At 45.4% G+C, this 21,502-nt stretch overlaps 2 protein-coding genes across 9 annotated transcripts in view; one reads left to right on the top strand and one right to left on the bottom strand.

The window, feature by feature from the left end:
- Positions 1–9,130, top strand: part of BFSP1 (beaded filament structural protein 1) — a 75,316-nt gene extending 66,186 nt beyond the window's left edge. For all 6 annotated transcript variants that reach the window (NM_001278608.2, NM_001278607.2, NM_001161705.2 and 3 more), the window contains 3 exons: positions 3,995–4,215; positions 6,012–6,097; positions 8,006–9,130. In NM_001278608.2, the coding sequence (NP_001265537.1) occupies positions 3,995–4,215; positions 6,012–6,097; positions 8,006–8,961 (1,263 nt within the window). In that variant the 3' untranslated portion in view covers positions 8,962–9,130. The remainder of the gene's footprint in view (positions 1–3,994; positions 4,216–6,011; positions 6,098–8,005) is intronic.
- PCSK2 (proprotein convertase subtilisin/kexin type 2) overlaps positions 18,457–21,502 on the bottom strand; it is a 258,472-nt gene continuing 255,426 nt past the window's right edge. For all 3 annotated transcript variants that reach the window (NM_001201528.2, NM_002594.5, NM_001201529.3), the window contains one exon: positions 18,457–21,451. In NM_001201528.2, coding sequence (NP_001188457.1) covers positions 20,965–21,451 — 487 coding nt within the window. In that variant the 3' untranslated portion in view covers positions 18,457–20,964. The remainder of the gene's footprint in view (positions 21,452–21,502) is intronic.

The raw sequence follows: 21,502 nt of genomic DNA, 5'->3' as shown, positions 1-21,502 counted from the left end.
AATTAAAAGTGAGAATAGTCTGTCTCATGAGCCCTCCCGCCCCATCCCTCAACACATGGCCCCTCTATGTTCTCTACAGCCCCACACACTTCCCTCACCATGTAATTCCAACACTTCTTTGAGATTTGGGGCTCAAAGGGGTCTTTTCAATCCCCATATTCCTTGAAAGTGTTTCCTGGAGTGTCTGAACACTCTGGTGTGGGTGAGATGTGGCTGCACCAGGCGTTAGTGTGTCTGACTTGTATTTGCTATTACAGGCGACTGTTTGAATCCAGATTTCTTGGGAGAAACAGAAACTGGATCACACTAGCTGAAACAGGAAGGGGACTCTTGTTTTATTCAGAAGTAATTTTAGATTTTTGAAAAGTTGCAAAAACAGCACAGTAGCTTCCAATATATACCCCTCACCCAACTTCCACAAAACCACGGGCCGATGATAAAAACCTGGAAATTAACAGTGATCCTGTCGCATTAATAGACTGCACTAAAATCTCACCAGTTGCTCCACGCGTGTTTTTTCCTGGTCGAGATCCTACTCACATTTAGGTGTCATGTCTTGATTGTCTCCCCCATACTGGGATGGTCCCCAGTCTTTCTCTGTCTTCCATGACCGTGATGCTTTGGAAGAACCCAGACCAGTGGCTTTGTGGCATGTCTCTCCTTTTGGGTTTCCCTGATGTTTTCTCAGGATTAGATGGAGGTTCTGCATTCTTGGCAAGACCCCCATGGAGTGACGCTGTGTCCTGAGTATTTCGTTATGTGGCTGTGTCCTCATACAGGTGACAATAACTCTGATCACTTGGTTAAGGTGCTGTCTGCCAGTTTTCTCCACCGGAAAGGTACTATTTTTTTTTTTTTCCAAAGGAGCAGGGTATAAAAGGCAGGGCATGAAATCTGAGAGCAGGTGTGCATCAGGAATCAGGAACCAGGAACTGGGAGCTGAGGCAGCCGCTCTCCGTCTCCTTTTCCATCTCTTCCTTCTCTTGCCATGGCTCCCTAATTTCTGTTTGTCTTTGCCTTTCGGCTTCATTTCTTTTCCTCTCCAAATAATTACCTTTCTCAACTTTGCCATGCACATGAAAGCTCGCCACTCCAGAGCGGCAGCCTCAGACCCGTTCATGTGTCCCTGTTGTCTAGAACCTCCCACCAACTCTGCGATTTCTGAGACCCCTTTCCAGATTCCCAGGAGAGAAGGCATGTGACAGGCCAGCCTAGGTCAGGCCCACCCCTGGTCCTATAACTCTGCACAGGAGAGTGGGGTCATCTTGTTGCTGGGACCGTGCCTTTGGATGGGTGGGGCTGACATCAGACACAGGGACAACGTGGACTGGACAGACATCTCCCCAAAGTGCTTAGCACACGTACCTTTTCTTCCCTTCCTCCTCCCTTCTAATGCAACAGATCTATGGCTGAACACCTGCTTTTTTTTTTTTTTTTGACAGAGTCTCGCTCTGTCACCCAGTCTGGGGTGCTCTGTCACCCAGTCTGGGGTGCTCTGTCACCCAGTCTGGGGTGCAGTGGCATGATCTCGGCTCACTGCAAACTCCACCTCCCGGGTTCAGGTGCCTCAGCCTCCAGAGTAGCTGGGATTACAGGCACCAGCCACCACGCCCAGCTAATTTTTGTATTTTTAGTAGAGATGGTGTTTCACCATGTTGGCCAGGCTGGTCTTGAACTCCTGACCTCAAGTGATCTGCCCGCCTTGGCCTCCTTAAGTGCTGGGATTACAGGTGTGAGCCACCACACCCGGCCATTTGCCGAACACCTTTGAAAGCTACATTTTCACTTAAGGAATTTCATGATCCAAGGGCATAAAGTGTATAAGTGAAGAATTGGGTTTTGATGGCAATGATCATCTTCCAGGGTGTCCAGTAGGTACATTTAGGTCTGGATGTAGGAAATGCCTGCAGTGGACATACATGAAGTTGAATATAGATGTGTGTCTTGCCCCTTGTGACTCGAAGTGTGGCCCATGGACCGGCAGCATCAACATCACGTGGGAACTGGTGAGCAAGGCGGAGTCTCCGGCCCCCCATCCCTGCTGAGTCAGACTCTTAACACCCTCAGGTGGTTCCAGTGCACCCTGGCTTCCAGAAGGGCTGCGCTAGGTAGAAGTGAGGTTTTGTTTGTTTTGTTTTGTTTTTGAGGACCATGCGTGTCAAATTCTTTCCTACTCAAGAATGAGATTGGAAAAGAATCATGATATCTCGGCCTCTACTTTATAAAGTTTAAATTTTTTTTAAGCTTCTTGACTCTTTTTTAATAACACTTGATCAAGCACAAGAGAAAATATTGCAATCAAGAGCTGTGGGAAACGTGAGCTGTAGGAGGCTGCGGCTGGGGTAATGCGGCGTCACTGTCTTACCAGAAACATCTCGTTAAAAGTGGGACTACACGCCAAAATAATGAGAAAAAGTGTAGTATCGTAAATACATAAACCAGTAACATAGTTGTTTATTATCATCATCAAGTATTATGTGTTGTACATAATTGCATGTGCTAGACTTTTTTTTATGCAACTGGCAGCACAGTCTGTTTACGCCGGCGTCCTCACAGACATGTGAGTGAACGTATGGCTCCACGGCCCTAGGATGGCTGCGGTTGTCACAAGGCGACAGGAATTGTCCAGCTCCATTGTACTCTTATGGGACCACCATCCTATATGCAGTCCATTGTTGACTGCAGTACTGTTATGTGGCCCATGACTGAGCATTTGTGGGTCTTTGTGTATCATCACAACCTCTTACACTGAATATAAAACTATCTCTTTCTGTTTTCCTCCCTTAATTTTTACTTGCTCTGATTAATGTACTGTATTTCTCTGACATTATTTTATGTGTACACAAGGGCACACACATACACCTTAGCTACCAAAACATAAATGTAACTCTGCCGATCCAAACTCGGGAGAAAATCAAAGCTGAATGAGAACAAGGAAACTTTTCTCCCACTCAGTATTTCAATAAAGGTAGCATCTTATCTATTTAGTATGTGCTTCTTTTTACTTATTTTTTTGCTATCAGATTTATGCTTGTTCATTAAAGTCTGAAGAATGTACTTTATTTGAATTATACATATTATTCCACCGATAGCAAGTTTTTTTTCTTTTTCTTTTAGACAGAGTCTTGCTCTGTTGCCCAGGCTGGAGTGCAATGGTGTGGTCTTGGCTCACTGCAGCCTCTGCCTCCCAGGTTCAAGTGATTCTCCTGCCTCAGCCTCCCAAGTATCTGGGATTATGGCGTGTGCCACCACTCCCAGCTAATTTTTGTATTTTTAGTAGAGATGGGGTTTCACTATGTTGGCCAGGCTGGTCTCAAACTCCTGACCTCAAGTGATCTGCTAGCCTCGGCCTCCCAAAGTTCTGGGATTACAAGTGTGAGCCACCTGGCCTAGGTTTCGTTTTATTTTCTAGGTTTGTCTTCAGACTGCCTTTGGGGTGGGCCTCCTTATGGACTAATTGCAGAGGGTGCTGATATTAGTGCAAGAAGGGCTGGGTGCGGTGACTCGCACCTGTAATTCCAGCACTTTGGGAGGCTGAGGTGGGAGGATCACTTGAAGCCAGGAGTTTGAAACCAGCCTGGGCAACGAAGTGGGACCCTATCACTACCAAAAAAAAAAAAAAAAAAAAAAAGCCCAGCATGTTGGTGCTTGCCTGTAGTCACAGCTACTCAGGAGGCTGAGGTGGAAGCCTTTAGCCTGGGAGGTCGAGGATGCAGTGAGCCGAGATTGCACTCCTGCATTCCAGCCTGGTGACAAAGTGAGATCCTCTATCAAAAAAAAAAAAAAAAAAAATTGTGTAAGGACACAGGAGCTCAGTTTTCACATTGCTTTTTAGCTTAAGGATTCCAAAGTGATTCATTGCTAATCTCGAATGGACAGAGAAACACACAAACAACATAAAACATTCACCGAGTCCAGGTTCCTTTTCCTGGTGAGGTCTGTCTCTTAGAGAAGAAGGGGGATGGATTTTCTTACAGCGTGTCCTTGCCCACAGACAACAACTCTGGAACAAGCTATTAAAAGTGCCCATGAGTGTTATGACGATGAGATTCAGCTTTATAACGAGCAGATTGAGACACTGCGCAAGGAGATTGAGGAGACAGAGCGGGTCCTGGAGAAGTCTTCTTACGACTGCCGGCAGCTGGCGGTCGCCCAGCAAACCCTGAAGAATGAGCTGGACCGGTATCATCGTATCATCGAGATTGAAGGCAACAGGTGAGCGTGTGCCCTCCCCATCCAGGCCACTTATTCCTTCCACAACTCTTTATTGAGTGCCTATTGTGTGCCAGGCACAGTTATAGGCAGTGGGCATGTGTCAGGGAAGGAAACAGAACAATTCCTGACCCCATGGGTGTTGGATAACTAGTAGGGGAGACAGAGGATGAAGGTACGACCAGTGCTGAGGAGGAAGTTCCCGCAGGGAGGAGGGTGGTGGCAATAGGGGTGATGGGGGAATGCTTGCAGTTTTAAGTAGGGTGGTCAGAAAAGGCCTCACTGAGAAGCCTGTGTTTTGCTCATAGGCCTCTGGGGACATAAGTGTCCCAGCAGGTGGGATGCCCAGGAGTATTTAATGAGGTGCTGCAGGTGAGCTACGTGGCACGGAGCCTGGCACTTGAGGGCACTCAGAGGTGTTGGTGATGCTCCTGCTGCCATCCTCACAATTCTTAGCACCTTGCTGAGTCAGTCTGTGGCTGTGACTATGTGGCTGTCTGGTCTTCTCCATAATGGAGCTGTGAGTCGATCCCTACTCACTTTAAGAAAGCTGGGAAATTCTCTCTTTCTCTCCAGCTATGCTGGTATTCATAGCTACGGTGATTTCCAGAGAACGGGTTGGGAATTAATTTGTGATTCTTCACTTCAGTCTTGCTAAATTCCTGGGTTTCGACTGAATGAAAAGAGAAGCCCCCCACAACTGAGGTCCCCACCAGGAGCAGCTCTTCCCTTCGCGCTGGGTGCTCTCTCTTGGCTGTGAGCACTCGAATGCTTGGCAGGAGAAGCAGGATTTTATTTTTCTTTCTCCAGTGCTGGTCGGTGTATCTGGCATGATTCCACATTATATTTATGTCACAGTGAACACTATGCACACATCTGCAAGAATAAGTCTGGAGCTGGCATTTCGGTGACTTTGTAAACATTTTTGTTTTGGGACAGGGCTTCACAGAAAGGTGACTGGATACCTCTTTTATTTATCTATAAGTTCTGATTTTGGTCTAATTTTAAATTGATAGAAATGTTGCAAGAATAGAACAAGGAACTCCTGAATACTCCAGATTCACCAGTTGTTTATATTTTATCTCAATTGCTTTATCATTTTTTCTCTATTTATATATGATGTGTGTGTGTACATGTATATGTATATATGTATATACGTATATATGAGTAGATATATGTATATATGTATATATGTGTGTGTATATGTATATATACGTATATATATACACGTATATATATACGTATATATACATATACACACACATATACATATATACACACATATATACATACGTGTGTGTATATATATACGTATATATACGTGTATATATATATACACACGTATATATACGTGTGTGTGTGTATATATATATACATACACGTATATATACATATATCTTAAGTTGGAGATATCATACTCTGTTTGCCCTAAATACTTCAGCCTGGGTTGACTACTCTAACTAAAAAAATCAAAAAGGCAAAAAAACAAAAGGCAAAAAAATAAAAAAGGCACTGTCTCATGGAGAAGTGGCATTTTTAGGTTATAAGCAATCCCCACTTTACAATTTTTTATAGGTATGTTTCACAGTTTATGACTCTTGAGCTCAAAGAAATGATCACTTCCTTTATGTCCTCATCCAGTATGTAAATGTGTGTATGGCTGTCTGTTTAAAATGATATCTAATTCGTGAGCAATTTGGTCTAGAGAAAGCTTTTTTTTCATTTTTGCTCAACATTAACGAGAGTCGCTCTTGCCCCTGACCTCTGTTTGGCTTGTTCTTTCTGGTTCTTTCTGCCAGGCTGACCTCTGCCTTCATTGAAACTCCCATTCCCCTGTTCACCCAGAGCCATGGAGTCTCTCTCAGCACTGGATCCGGTGGGAAAGGTAACGCTCCCCAACACTGGACTTCTGTTTTTTTCTGTCTTGAAAAAAACCAAGCGGCTCTCTTCCTGACTTTAACATTCATGCTTGCTTCAGATCCATCTGGAAATTAAATGCTTTTATGTGAAGGAGGACTCCTTCCCACCCTCTGCCCTCTCTGGCTTGCTAAGTGACTGAGCTGAGAAGTTTATAAGGAGAAAAATCGACTAGGGGGCTAGGCTACCTTGGGCATGCCATCCCTAATGTGAGGCATTTATTTTGTATTTTTATATTTGTTTTATGGTTTGACAGCAATAACTTTTGCAACACAAGGCATTTAATTGGGCAAAAAGTACAACTCAATATTCACTTCTTGCTCCCTCCGCTCGGCAGTAAGTGAACACTGGATCACATCCCACCGCCTCCCCACATTGAATCAAAGGGTTTGTGCCAACGCGTGTAACATGGTGTCCAGTGCAGAGTGGCTGCTCAGTCATCTCTCATTCTCCCCTCCCTCAAACCAGGCAGAAACAGCTTGGCTGGTAAATGTGGCATCTGCCTTCAACATTTGGTCTGTAAGACCTCACCTCACATCGAAATCTCCCAGTTCTGAACAAGCGCAGCATTTGGGGAGAAAAGAGAAGGTGGTAATATGGATGCTCATGCATATAGGGCCTTGAAATCCTTATTTCCAGATAGCTCAGAGGGCTTTGTGGAAATGGTGTTCCAGAGTCAACATGGTTGGAAAGGGAACAGCCTTGCAGCTGGACGCCCAGGGCCAGGTCTGCAGACGAGCGGCCCTGCAGGGGCTTGCTCTCAGAACGGTCCCAGCTTGGCTGAATGCTCTGCTAATGCTGTTCTGAAGTTCTTAATAATTTGGAACAAGGGGTCTTGTGGGTTTTTTTGGCACTGGGCCCTGAGATTCTGTGCAGTCCTGTAAGCACCTCCTCCTCGCATACCAGTTCCCAGCAGTTTTCCTGTGCCCTGTCCCTCTCTGCATCCCTTGCACCTGTGGCTTTGTGACCCATGTCTGCTGTTGCCGGCTCACCTGGCTCTCTTTTTATTGTGAATCAGCCGTGCTTGATGCCGGTGCTTGATCGGTCTTGCCCTGTGGTTACCAGTGGGAAGGGATGCAGGGGATGACTTTTGGGCTGAAAAAGTTCAAAATTCACTATGTGGGTGGAGCCGGGAAGCCTCATAGATTATACCAGGTGAGAATTTTATGTGTTTTCTTCAACTTTTAGTTTTTCCTTTCAGCTAGTCTGGAAGCAGGAGGGTGGACTTGGGGCAGGGGATTCCTGTCATTTCTGAATTTCATAGCATCGCTTCTTCTCTTGGCCTGGGAGGAAGGGGAGGCTGATCACAGCCGGGTGGCATTTATCTAGCTTGAGCTAATTATGGAATGAGGTAGATCCACCGTGAACGGGTTCCATCTCCAGGCCCAAGGCCATCTGAGCATGTCAGAAGCCCCCAGGTAGCTCTGTCGTCTCTCCTTTGAGGAAGTCAGAGGAGAGAATAACTTTGAGGAATGGGCTTCTGTGGATCCAAGTGTCTGCTGTGAGCTCAGTGGGGCTGCAGTGGGAACAGGGGCTAGGGCTCCCATTGAGTGTCAGGACAATGGCCTTGCATACCTTGGTAGGTTCTGCCTGGTGTGGTGGTGAACTGTGGGTGTCAGAACAGGGAGCACCTTCCCTCTGGAAGCCCAAAGGCATCCAGTGACTTGTCCAGAGTCGCCCAGCTGGACCTCAGCCTGGGCCATGGAGCAACAAAGCCAGGGCCTTTCTTCCATTGCTTCTGCTCCAGATGAAGGAAGCCCCACCCTAGTACTATAGGCGTTTGTTTCCGAGAGAGTTAGCCTATTTTCCAACCAGCGTATTTTCTTTCTCTCTCAGTGACAATTATACTTGAATTTCTGCCTGTGTGTTTTTCCAGATCTTACCAGAGCTCTGCAGGATATAACAGCAGCAAAACCAAGACAAAAAGCCCTCCCCAAGAATGTTCCAAGGAGAAAAGAGATTATAACAAAAGACAAAACCAACGGAGCTCTGGAAGATGCACCATTAAAAGGTTTGGAAGACACAAAGCTGGTACAGGTGGTACTTAAAGAGGAAAGTGAATCTAAGTTTGAATCAGAAAGTAAAGAAGTAAGTCCCCTGACACAAGAAGGGGCTCCAGAGGATGTGCCAGATGGAGGGCAGATAAGCAAAGGCTTTGGGAAACTATACAGGAAGGTCAAGGAGAAAGTGAGAAGCCCCAAAGAGCCTGAGACCCCCACTGAGCTCTACACCAAAGAGCGGCACGTGCTGGTCACAGGGGATGCCAATTACGTGGACCCTAGATTCTATGTCTCCTCCATCACAGCTAAAGGTGGGGTGGCTGTTTCTGTTGCGGAAGACTCTGTGCTTTATGACGGCCAGGTGGAGCCCTCTCCTGAGTCACCCAAGCCCCCTTTAGAGAATGGGCAGGTGGGTCTGCAGGAGAAAGAAGATGGACAACCAATTGACCAGCAGCCTATAGACAAGGAGATTGAGCCAGATGGTGCAGAGCTGGAAGGCCCTGAAGAGAAACGTGAGGGTGAGGAGCGGGACGAAGAGTCCAGGAGACCCTGTGCCATGGTCACACCCGGTGCAGAGGAACCATCTATACCTGAGCCTCCAAAGCCTGCGGCTGATCAGGATGGAGCTGAGGTGCTTGGGACTAGGAGCAGAAGCCTGCCAGAAAAAGGCCCTCCCAAGGCTTTGGCCTATAAGACAGTGGAAGTGGTGGAATCTATCGAGAAGATTTCCACGGAGAGCATTCAGACATATGAAGAAACCGCTGTGATCGTGGAGACCATGATTGGAAAGACAAAGTCAGACAAGAAGAAATCAGGAGAGAAGAGCTCTTAAAATGCCCAGGCTTGATGGGATAAAATGTATTTGGGGCCACTGTAGGGGTAATGCTTTGATATTTTAGAGCAAATGATAAAAGGGTGAGGGTTCCTGTTTGGATTAGACCATAGTTGACCCATCTGGCATTGCCAACGAAGCCTTCATTAAAATGTTTTCTTTGCTTGCACATCCTTTGTCTAATTAATAGGGACCTTGGGAATGTAGGTGGGTCAGCTTCATGAGGACAGGGATGCTCTGTTAAATGGCCACCATACCGTCCTCATTTAGGAAAGAGACATGCTCTTCATCCTGGTTCATAAGTCTCGTTAGAGACTCAGATAGCATCTGGATTTCACACAGAAACATGCTGGTTGATGACATCGGCTCATCTTCATTCCATTTCAAGCACAAGTGTGTGCTTATGTGGATGAGTGTTTTGCTAGAGATGAAATTATTAAAGGCATCTCTCTTAATGTGGATTCCCCCAGAAGCTGATCCCAAAGCAGAGAATGCGAAGTTTCATTGGAAGATGAATTTAGGATGCACAAGTAGGAGAGTGGAGAAGGCAGGGAAGAGAAGGGAACCAATAAGGAGGACGTTACCACCAAATCAGCTCACACCAGGGGCCACTGAGGAGCTCTGGCAGACAGCATAGATCACGTGCCTCAGAGTCAGCCTCCCTGAGGGGTGAGGGAGCTGGGGTATTAATCCTCCAGCTCCTGGCAGTCAGTGGGAGGTGTGCTCTCTGGGGGCCAAGAAAGCTCTCAGGCAAAGATGTCTAGGTGCTGGCATTTGGAAGTCAGGCCTGGAAATACAAGGAAGTACTAAGGGTCAAGGGGTCATAGGCAGTGCACCAGTGTCATCTGCCACCATATGGGTACCAAATGTACTTAGTATGAGATACTTAAAATTTTCTCACTCAGAGATTGCAACCTAGGTCAGGTTTCAAGAAGCAAGGTGAAGTGTCACTGTGTAAGTTCCTTGTTTAGAAGTGAGTTAATTAGTCCAGCAAGCATTTATTGAACATGTACTATGTGCCTGACAGTGTGCTGTGCCATTAAGGGGCGATTTTTCAGACTTCTCAATGCTCTCAATTACCATAATATAGCAGTGGCCATGTGAGTGTGCATGATCTTGCGTGTGCACACACACACATGCACACAGGTACTTACTGTGTCACATCCTAAAACACAGAAATTACTCAAAACCAGAATCTTTACACAAATGTCTATGTTGCCCTCCAGTATCTATCTTTGTACTCACAGTCCAAAAATAAGTTATGCCAATTAAAAAAAGTCTCCTTCCCTGTGTAGCTTCACCAAAGTACATTAAGGGAGCTGAGTAAATGTGTTTAAATGGGTTATAGTATCGGCCTACAAAAAGCATCTGGTGAGACAACTACACATTATTAGAGGAAATTGACAGAGTCACAAATTACATTCTGTTATTTCTTGGTTACAAATAATATAATACTAAATGGAGTCACCTTTCCTTTCTATTTAGAGCTTGAAACAATCTTGTTCCAAATTCATTTGAGGTTTGGATTTCAAGAAAGAATTAGGCTTTTGTTGTTTTTTCTAAAAGATGAATGGGGAACCCATTCCACTGAGTTTTGAAATATTTATAACTTAAAAGCTTAAGGGAGAATGATAGAAACCATTAGCTGGAGCCCAGGATGTACTAGGCTTTGGGCCTGTGTGTCTATTATCTTCAGCTTCAACAGCCACTGCAAAGCCTTTCTTTTCCTCCTTGGGTCTTTTTATTTTCTGAACTATGTGTTCAGTTTATATTATTTTAAAAGGCAGGGGGTATTGCTTTAGAAAGAAAGGTCATTTTTATATTATATTCAATCAGTCAAGAAAAATGGATTGGGATCTGTTCTGTGCCAGGCATGGTCCTGGTCACTGGGAGACAGCAAGGAACAGTGGGACGTGGTCCTGCTCTCACAGATGTGATGTTCTAGTGGGGGAGGAAGGAAACGCCATGCAAGCGGGTAGCGAAGAGAAAGTCAGAGACTCTACCATGAAGGGACTCAACTAGCGTGACCTGCTAGAATGACTGGGGGTCTAGTTTGGATTGGGTGGTAAGGGAAGACCCTGTGAAGGGGTGATGTGGGACCTGAATGACAACATGGGGTATATCACATACAGAGCTGAGGGTAGAGCATTTCAGGCAGAGAGAGCTGCAAGTGTAAAGGCCCTGGGGCAGGAGTGAACTCGGCCTGTTCAAGGAGACATAAAGGGGACTGCAGGGGGACAATGGAAGGAGGTGAGGTGAGGGTGGGAGGCAGGGACCAGGTAAGCACCATTTCCTGGCAGGTGCACCTCAGCCTGAAGGTTGAGCCCATACTGTGAAATGCAGGGCTGGCTGCAGTGCACGCTTTAGAGCCTAGTTGGGCTCTGACTGTGCAAGGGTCCCAGGGATTTGACTCACTTGCTCATTTTCTTGACACTCCACTGTCCCAATCTAGTTCTGTTTCCCAATCTAGTTCTGTTTTCTTCTGTAGAGCTGCAGAATGGGTTCATTTCTGGGCTTTCTCTCTCCCCAGGGTCCTGAAACACGCACGAAATCTTTGGTTTCATAAAGAGTTTCTTGTTAGTAACATGGAGTCAGAGCAGGCCTCCCGACAGCATCCATGCAGGGTCCCGACAGCATCCATGCAGGGTCCCGACAGCATCCATGCAGGGCCTCGGTCTCCTCTTCCCTGAGGCAGCTTTGGGTCTGTTGGGAGCAAGACTCTCCCAGAGTGCCTGCTCCATACAGCAGCTGTGTGGTAGCCCCTGCCCCACTCATCTTCCCAGCACTTGAGTCAGTGACCCGTCACTGCTGTTGTATCAGCCACCCAGGGTGTCTCGCCAGATCCCCCAAGTCTCACCGCACTCCAGCTTCTCGCGGCAGGCGTGTGCGACTCTGCCTTAGAGTTTCCTGTGGCCACAGGCACATGCTTGGTCCATACCTGGGCAGATTGGTTGTCCTGGGGAGTTCATGCTCCCGGGAGCAGCCCTCAATCAAGGGTGGACGGGACCTGGAGGAGCAGGTCTCTTCCCCAGCCCTCTCACTCTGCTGTTAGGGTAACTTTTAGGCATATTCTACATAGTCTCTTGGAGCTCCCCAGTGGGTTTGAGCCTCAGATGCCTGTGAAGAAATGCACTGATCAGTGCCTCCGGTATTGGCCTCCTCCTTTTCGTGTCTCACTTTCCTTCTCAAGATATAGATGCTTCCTTTCACATAAATGACTTGCCCTTCACTCCTTGTCTCAGGGTTGCCTTCTGGAGGACCCAACCTGAGACAGCAGACTAACATCTGCCACTCCTACCTCCCGTCCCTCAGGTGACAGCCCTGATTTTGTATTGAGTAGCCGCTCCTCCCACACTGGATACAACCCTAATGTATCAAGATATTCTGCCTTCCTCTGGCCTCAGGGTGGGCCAGTGACCCGGACCAGCCCAATCAGATTCACCCTCAATGAAATTAGAAATCTGAGTCCAGTATAGCGCAGGCTGCAGGTGCTGGCACTTGCCGCCTGAGACCCCGGCAAGGTTGCCTGCCAATCCTTGCTGTGTTTCCGGGTCCCCAGCCTTGCTCCAATCACTGTCTTTTTTCTAGGATGGTGTTGGCTGGTTCTTCAGGCCTGAGGGCTACACCACATGTTTTTGACATACTGCTTACTTGTTTTCGCTAGTTAGAGTTGGTTTTCTTTGCTTGTAACCCCAAAGATAACTGCTAAGTAATAAGGTTAGGTATCAACAGATAAGGAGGTTTGGATGAAGTTGGGTTGTCCCCCAAAGCAGACCCGGAGAAAGGTCTTGGGTGCAGGCGGTTTGTTAGGGTGGTGTCGCAGGAAGGATAGTAAGCTCCTGTCTCTTGCTTCAAACCTGCCCCTCTCTACCCAGTGATGCTGGGGCTGGGACTCTGCAGCCAGGTCCTGCTTAGCCAGCTGCTCCCTGGGAGGTGCTGTTAGAGGGGAGCTGGGGGAAGACTGAAAGTCTGGAGGAGGAAGAAGGCACTCGCTGGCTTTTGTTTGCTTTCTGCTCTTGTCCACACCACCCCAGCAATCCTTCTGTGGTCTGAATGTTTATGTCCCTTGCAAATTCATATGTTGAAGGCCTTACCCCAAGGTGAAGGTATTAGGAAGTGGGGCCTTTGGGAGGTGATTAGGTCATAGGGCAGAGCCCTCATGAACCAGATTAGTGCCCTTATGAAAGAGACCTTAGAGACCCCCTCATCCCTTCTAGCATGTGAGTTCGGAGTGAGGAGGTGCCATCTATGAACCAGGAAGTGGGCCTTTGCCAGACGCTGAATTTGCTGGCACCTTGATCTTGGATCCCCCAGCCTCCAGAAGAGTGAGAAATAAATTTGTGTTGTTTATAAGGTACCCAGTCTATGACATTCTGTTACAGCAGCCCAAATGGACTGAGACAGCTTCTTCACCCTGGCAGTGGCAGTTCCTTCCTGTAGCAGCAGCTGAGTCCAGTTCTCCATTTTCCCAGCATTTGCAGGACCAGCCTCATCGCAGTCTCTGCAGAGATACCTGCACTAGCCTGCTGATGCCCCTCCTTGGTCTGGGTCCCAGCACACTCCCACCTCTGAGACTTCCAAGTTGTATTAATTCCAACCTCTCCTCTTAGGTGGTAGCTAGCTGCTTCTTGAAGGTCTGCTGACAAGAAGTGGCCCACTAGGCACTTGTATTCCATAACCAGCGCCATACCACCCGCTGGGCTTCTCCCTAAAGACTGTAAGCGTTGGTTTTACAAGAAAAAATCTGCATGGGTTTCCTTGAGAGAGTGCCAGTGGTCCTGAGGGAAATCTTGGCATGAACCAGCTGCTGGGTGGTTTCTCTAATCTTTTGGCCTCATGCACCTGTACCCAAGTCAGATGACTGATTTGCACATTGGGACCACTACAGACCTCCACCTGAGCTTCCTCTGGCTTCACTCTGCCAGGTCTTAACTCCCCATCTTTCAGGTCCTAACACGTGCACTTGTGCTCCACTTCCGGGCACTGTGGGTGGGTAAGGCAGGCTGGGGTGCCACGGATGCCTTAGGATCCTGCCCGAGCCAGGAGGGCATCTTCATTGCGTGAGCCCCCCACTCCCACAAATGTTGGACTTTTTGGTCCATGTGATTCTTGTGTTTTCTTTTGCTTTTTGAATTAACTAGGTAACAATTCATTATACTAATTGTATGGTACTTTGTATTAAATTCTCTCTGTTAAAACCACTGGTATGGTTTCTGTCTCCTGACTGGAGAAAGAGGAGGCATGAGATGGGGAATGGATGTGTCCACGCAGGGGGCATTAATGAGGTGGCCACCACTGTGAGCAGCTGGGGCTCCATCCCACTGGGGACCCTTCAAGAGAGCGGGTGGAACATCTTCAAATTGTCCCAAGCAGGAGGTGAGGAAGCTGAGCTATCCGTCTACCAGCTCTCCATCCCATTTCTCCTCAGGAGAGGGTGGCCCTAGGGCACTGATGCCCTATCACCTGTGGCCTGCTCCACACGAGGTCTGGGGCTTTTCTGCAGCTGGGCAGAGTGATAGAATGGCCTTTGGCATGCATGGAAACTGCCTACAGATAACCTTTAGGTGGGCCAAGGAGATATAGGGCAGAGGTTGGCAAACCTTTTCTGTAAAGGGCCAGATTGTAGGCCACACAGCCTCTGCTGTAACTACTCAGCTCTCTTGTGGTAGCATGAAATCAGCCATAGACAATACAACAACAAACAAGCACAGTTGTCTCCAACAAAACTGTATTTATAAAAGCAGACCGCGTACTGGGTTTGGCTATAGTTTGCAGACTCCCTGATACAGAGGATGCACCAACAGTCTGCCGCAAAATTCAGTTAACATCTCAGAAGACACTTCTAAACCTGGCATTGGAACCTGTCTCTTCCTTCCACCTTCATGTTGGGAAATTCCATTTAGTTCTCTCCTCGACTTGAAGCTTACATTATAAGAAAGATCTGGCCGGGCATGGTGGCTTACTCCTGTAGTCCCAGCACTTTGGGAGGCTGAAGCAGGTGGATCATCTGAGGTCAGGAGTTCGACACCAGCCTGGCCAACATGGTGAAACCCCATCTCTACTAAAAATATTTTAAAAATTAGCCAGGCATGGTCACACACGCCTGTAATACCAGGGGAGGTCGAGGCAGGAGAGTCGCTTGAACCTGGGAGGCGGAGGTTGCAGTGAGCCTGAGATCATGCCACTACACTCCAGCCTGGGCAACAGAACAAGACTTTGTCTCAAAAACAAACAAACAAACGAACAAACAAAACCTAAATGAAAAAAAACCCCGAAAAACAAACAAACAAAATCTTCAAGCAGCCATTACTATCAAGTTTATCCTAAAATTTTTCTAACATAGATTTGTGGTTAGGACACTGCTGGTGAATGAAGTCACCCCAAAACTCACATGGCATTTGGCACATTGATGATTGGTATCTTGATTGGTACAATACCTGACTCCATTTTCTCAGGCATGGATAAAAGCAAGCAAACAACATAAAAAGCCACACTGACTTATGTTGTATTCAAACAGAGTTTTTGAGTTGAAACTTATTTTATCAGAAGATACACTCCTGGTCAATGACTCCACTGGGCTGATGCCCTCACCAGCTGTACCTGCCCCTTTACCCTCATGCTTGCATCCTTGTGACCAGGAGCTTGCCTGTCACCTGTGGCCCATCAGTGGTCCTGGGACATGGTGCCAGAAAAGAAAAAGATAAATTTTAGCTTCTTCCCTCCATCTAGTTTGAGTAGCTCATGGGATATCCTCTCAGATTCAGAGGGACATCTTTGAGGGTGTTGTGAGGTGGCACACCCCATCTTGGGATGGGGAGCTGGCACACCCCATCTTGGGATGGGGAGGGCAGGTTGGCCCAAAGCCTCCTGGTTGGAAATCAGTAACAGTGACGTTAGGCCTAAGGAATTACCAGCCTCATGTGGCTCTTCTGGCACCTGAAACTCTGTGAGCTGAGATTTCTAGTTGCCTTCCCATCCCATCCCACCGCAAATCATGCATGAATGAGCATTAAACATTTAGCCACACAGAATCTTCATCTTTTTAGGCTGAGTGCATCCCTCACCTGAGATCATTCTATTCCCAGGTTCACAAACGTGAGTCTCTTCTCAGTTCTAAGAGAAACATGGAGCCAGGACCTTGGCTTGGAGAATTTACCCTAGGTTCTCAGACTTTGATTCCAGGTCCCTTATACATCTTAAACCAAATTTGATCAGGGTTTTTTGAAGCCAAGGAAAGGGTTCAACTAAATGCACAAGAGACTAATGGAAAAACTCAAGTACTAGCTGATTAGTTTACAATTCAAAGAGAGGGTGTTGTTTTCTGCAGATCTAGCTGCTTGGATCGTTTATACCGGTGTTAATGTTCTTGGGAAGCTGCATAAGGCATGAGGAGGCTGTGGGTGAGCATGCAATGGGACCATTGGCAAGTGGTGGTGTTTTAATGCACTCTCTCTGGGGGTGGCTTTGCCAATGTATTGGCCTGTATCCCTCGATAGACTTCAGCTCTTCAGAGACTGGAATTCTCCCTTATGTCAGGCTTCATGTTTCCCTACCCTGAATGCTGCCAGACACTGTCTTCCAGCTTTGGTCACCCTGACTCTCATTTATTCTAAGCTCCCATGTGCTGAGTGCCCTCCATCCTCCCACCCTTTCTCTTGACTTATTCTTTAGAGACAAAGAACCACCCTGCTGGCCACAACTGAACCACCTACATTAGCCTAGGAGACATTCTGTCTCTGGCATTTCACAATTCCAGAGTTTTAAGGATCCCCTAACTCTCTTCCACAACCACTGTCCTTTATCTTTGCATTTTGCTTTTTAGAAATTTCTACCAAATTAGACTATTTGCATCTAAACACTTTAGCTGTGAGATCACCATTTCCCCTAATTCAGCACTTCTTTCTGTTAACTATAAAATACTTATGTGTCCTGAAGGTCTTACACTGTGTGGTTTTCATATAATCACTCCAAGCAAATGCGCTGATCACATGAAAACCATGCATTAACTTATAAGTGATACGAATGAAGACATAGAGTAGTAACTCTATCGGAATTTTTAAAAATCATTTTTTAAACTTAATCTTTTGGAAATCCATCTTTAAACCTAAGTATTAAAAAGGAGTGTCTCAGGATCACAAGATCAAACCTTGGACCTTATATCCGCCAATATCTATTTTTAGTAACAGACTCTGTTTATATTTATTTATTTTTGGGACAGTGTCTTGCTCTTCACCTAGGTTGGAGTGCAGTGGTGTGATCACGGCTCACTGCAGCTTCTACCTCCTGAGCTGAAGCTATCCTCCCACCTCAGCCTCCTGAGTAGCTGATACTACAGGCACATGCCACCATGCCCGGCTAAGATTTTAATAATTGAGTTTAAGTGTTATATCAGAGGACAGAATTATAAATTGTTTTTATAATTAACTTTGGTAAATATAGTATATTAATATTTTATGAATAATTATTAAGGTCTTTTTCTAGAATAGTCTGTGGTCTATGGGGTAAGGTACAGCCAGTTTGTAATAATGTTCATGGTACCATCCATGAAGAGTGATTGCCATGTTAAATCGGTTCTTAAGAACATGTTTTAAGGGAATGTCAAGCACTCTCTGTAGTGGAGACTCTAATGCTCACCAAATATTCCCTTAGTTGTCACAGATTTCCCAGTTGCTTTGCATTTAGCCAGGGCTATTGCCCAATACTGGCCAGTGGGCAATGGGCAGAAGCGATGCATGTGTCTCCTTCAGGCTAAACATAGAAGAGCAGATGAATGTCCTCCTTGGGTTCTCTTCTGCATGGTGATTGTAGCAGCCTTGTGCTATGATTACAAACCATACGGTGAAACAGCCTGGATCCTGAGTCACTGCATGGAGGTCTGTGGCTTTGGGGAGTCACCTGAACCTTCACTGGAATTTGTGTGGATGATAAATAAACCTTTGTTGTATTAAACCACTGAGATTTTGAGATTGTCTGTTACTATAGCATAACTTAGTCTAGCCTGATTAATATATTTTAGAATAGTGTTTCTAAAAGATTTTTGACCATCACTCACAATGAAAAATGTATTTTACATTGTGATCCAGTACACACACTCAGACACACACACGTGTGCACACACACATCTGAAACAAATATTTCAGGAAACAATACTTATCCTTATTATGCATGATTATTCTATTCTATTCTATTCTATTCTATTCTATTCTATCCTATCCTATCCTGTGATTTTCTTCTCTCCTACTGTATTCTAAATTACTCTATTTTATTAAAAACTGACCTCCTAAATTGATTTTACAACCCACTAATGGATGTAACTAGAGTTTGAAAAATACTGCTGTAGATAATAATTTGTGTATGATTTATATGTTAATTATAAGTCTTTTATGCATACTTAGTAAAGCAGGCTCTTTAGATCTCTCTTTGGCAATTTTTAAATTATCTGTTCCTAGAATGGATGAAAGTATTTTCATGTACAATATAGCACATCTCACATAATTTCTGGAGCATAATGTTTTATTGTTGAGCCTCCTAATTTACAACATGTCTTTTGAAATTTGCTTATAAAATTTTGTCACAGGGAGCAACAATGTTAACCTAATTATTATTCACTTATTTTCATTTTTTAAAATAAATGACTATAAATAACTGTCTCTTCAGTTAGGATCAGGGATATCATAAAAACATCACTAGCGAGACATATTTTAGTATTAATACTGATGCAAAAAATGAAATAGAGACCAAATATTTATATATATAGCACTATATATATTTTTATATATTGTATACTCATATCAAAACTTGCCATTTCTCTTAAGTAGCTGATAAGTTGCTTTCTAATTTTATAAATTACACCACACCTGTGAAAATATGGACAACTATTTTATATTTTTGCTGCTATATAAGACATTTAATGTTTATACAGAGAGCTGAAAAATTACAGAGGTGATGCAATGGGAATTGATGAACATTTTCACCTGAATTTCCACTGGCCTTTTTCAGCCAGAATCATCTTGATATTCTCTGAATATTCTTTTAGAAATGAGTATGGTATCTGTTTCTTCAATAAATACACATACACACATTATAGGTATATGTGTATATACATTTATACAAGTGTATGTATATATACACATATATACACACATGTATATAGTCTACATATGTATATATATTTCTGTGTGCACTTATACACACATGCACACATAATGTCCTTTGGTTTATTTTTAGACCATTAATGTGAAATGAATTTTCGATGATTTCCATTTATTTTTTCTTGAAATCTAAACTGGTTTAAAAAGACCTTTGCAACAAGTAATAAATTTCTTTTAAAAAATCATATTATTACACTTTAAAGCATGATATAGAGAAGGTCACAAGGTGTTAGAGAAGACAGAAATCCATGCCAATATGGGAGAAAAGAAAGCAAATGGGGTTTTCAGATTTCTCTCTTAAAGTGGCCACCTTCAGGGAATTGAACCTAGTGCTCTGTGTTGCTGGCTTGAAGGAAAGGTGCTCCAGGCTAAGCTCTCTGCTCCCACAGGAAGGGAGATGGTGCCTGGAGAGGCTGAAGACAAAGCATTTCTTGGGAATGGATGTGCATTGGGACTGGGGATGAGAAGCAATCTCTGGGTAGGTCACTTTGGTAATGTCTAGTTGGGAATGGAGTGGTGACTTTTGGGATTGACCATAACCTTCGGGTTGCATGTTAAATGGTCTCAGGGACTGCTTAGTTGCCGAGAAGGTGACTGTGTGCTTTCCTCACAGAGGTCTTCTCTCACCTCCTTCAGGCCTCAGGTTCCTCTGGGATGAATTGCATGGCCCTCTCTTGGCAGAAGAGGCTCCATACAACTGGAGAACTATGTGAAGATAGCGCTCGCATCTTCAAACGTGCCCCTTTCACCTCCCATGACTCTTCCGGGACAGAGGCCTTTTTCCCAACACATTAATGACATCAAACTGTGGGGGAGTATGAGATTTCTCTTCCATTATATTACTTGGAAATCAAAGCCCACATCTGTGTGTGTAAAGCTGTAAAAAAAAAAAAATACTCCTGTCGCCTCTCACTCAGATCAGATTGAGACACCTCAAAGTGACTTAGGAAAAGGGACATTCTTGTTTGAAAAGCTAGTAAACTACTCTTCACCAGGTGTGTTGCCAGGCTTGTCTTAATTTTTTTTCTCTTTTGGGTAGCTATGTGAGGAGCCCCAGAAAATTGGGGCTGGGATGAACTCTATACAAACTGAGAAAAATTTGGGCTGCTCTAGCGGATTTTAACATAACTCAGAGCAGCAGCTGGTGAGAGCACAGCCACGCTCTGTAAGTTTTATATTTGCCACGCCGGCTGAGTAGAGTGAATTATCTTGGCATTGGTAGTAAAATATCCAGCACTCATGCTTCCTGGATCTCTTTCCCCATGCAGTAACTAGGGCTCTCTATGAATGGCATCTTTTGAATCACATCACCTTAATCTACATCCCTGGTAAATCTCACTAAATTCAAAACATCGCTCCCCAAAGGATTTATAGCACAGTGTCTCCTGTGCTTTCAGAGATGTGGCGCTCACACCCTGTCCTCAGCTTTGATTTTCTTGTTATGTAACAGCCCCTTGTTTGAGACCATGGACAATTGTTCTTGGAGTCACTCTATGTGGCTTTTAAAATACGTTCTTTTCTCAGAAACAAAAAAAAAAATGAGGGGAAAGCTGTCCCAGTTTTTTTTTTTTTTTTTTTTTCAGGATATCACCCATTTGAATGACAGAAATAAAGAATTTAGAGTCACACATAGGACATGGATGTTGTTGGGAACGCTATATTTGGGGCATAGAGTAAAAAAGATTGTTTCCATTGTAATGAAAATAATCATTGACAGTGAGTGAAGCTTCAGATTAAGAAGACGGAATTGCCTGTACGGGTGATGGAATTGCTAGGTGCCTGCCTGAAACGTGGAGCGAGGACAGAGGCGGAGCTGGGGAGGGAGGGCGGTGGGAAAGGCGGATGTGCAGCGCTAGTTCTTGTTAAGGATGCTTTTCAGGCTTCTCTCCACGGCTTCGTCCAGCTCTTCCTCCAGCTCCTCTTTCTTGGACATGGCCAACTTGGACTGGTAATCCCGCACCACCTGGTCGATGTACGGGGCACTCTGAGTGCCATGCAGCATCAGGGTCCACTCCTTCAGCACCCCCTTCTGCGGGGCGCTGCCGACAAATCCCAGCTCCAGGGTCCAGGTGCCTCGGGCGTCTTCCCCCCACGTGTGAGTGGTCATGAAAGGCCACTTGTCAAAGCCCACCTTGGAGTCGTCATCCCTTGGACGCCGGCTCAGCAAAATGGACTTGGTGCCCATAGGGGAAGTCATGTTGATGTTCAGGTCTCCTCTTCTGGTTGCGTTGACCGTGATGACAGCCTGGACATGCTCCAGGTAGCGGACAAAATTTTCCTTCCCCTCACAGGCGTCGGTTGTGAGTGTCAGCACCAACTTGCCAGTGGATGGTATTTTCCTGAGGGCAGAGTGAAGAGGAGATAGGATAAGCAGTGGTGGGTGCACCTTA

The sequence above is a fragment of the Homo sapiens genome, chromosome 20 (genome assembly GCF_000001405.40).
Source record: "Homo sapiens chromosome 20, GRCh38.p14 Primary Assembly".
NCBI lineage: Eukaryota > Metazoa > Chordata > Mammalia > Primates > Hominidae > Homo > Homo sapiens.
Note: the sequence above shows the minus strand (reverse complement) of the source record. Positions and strands in the feature narration are given on the sequence as shown.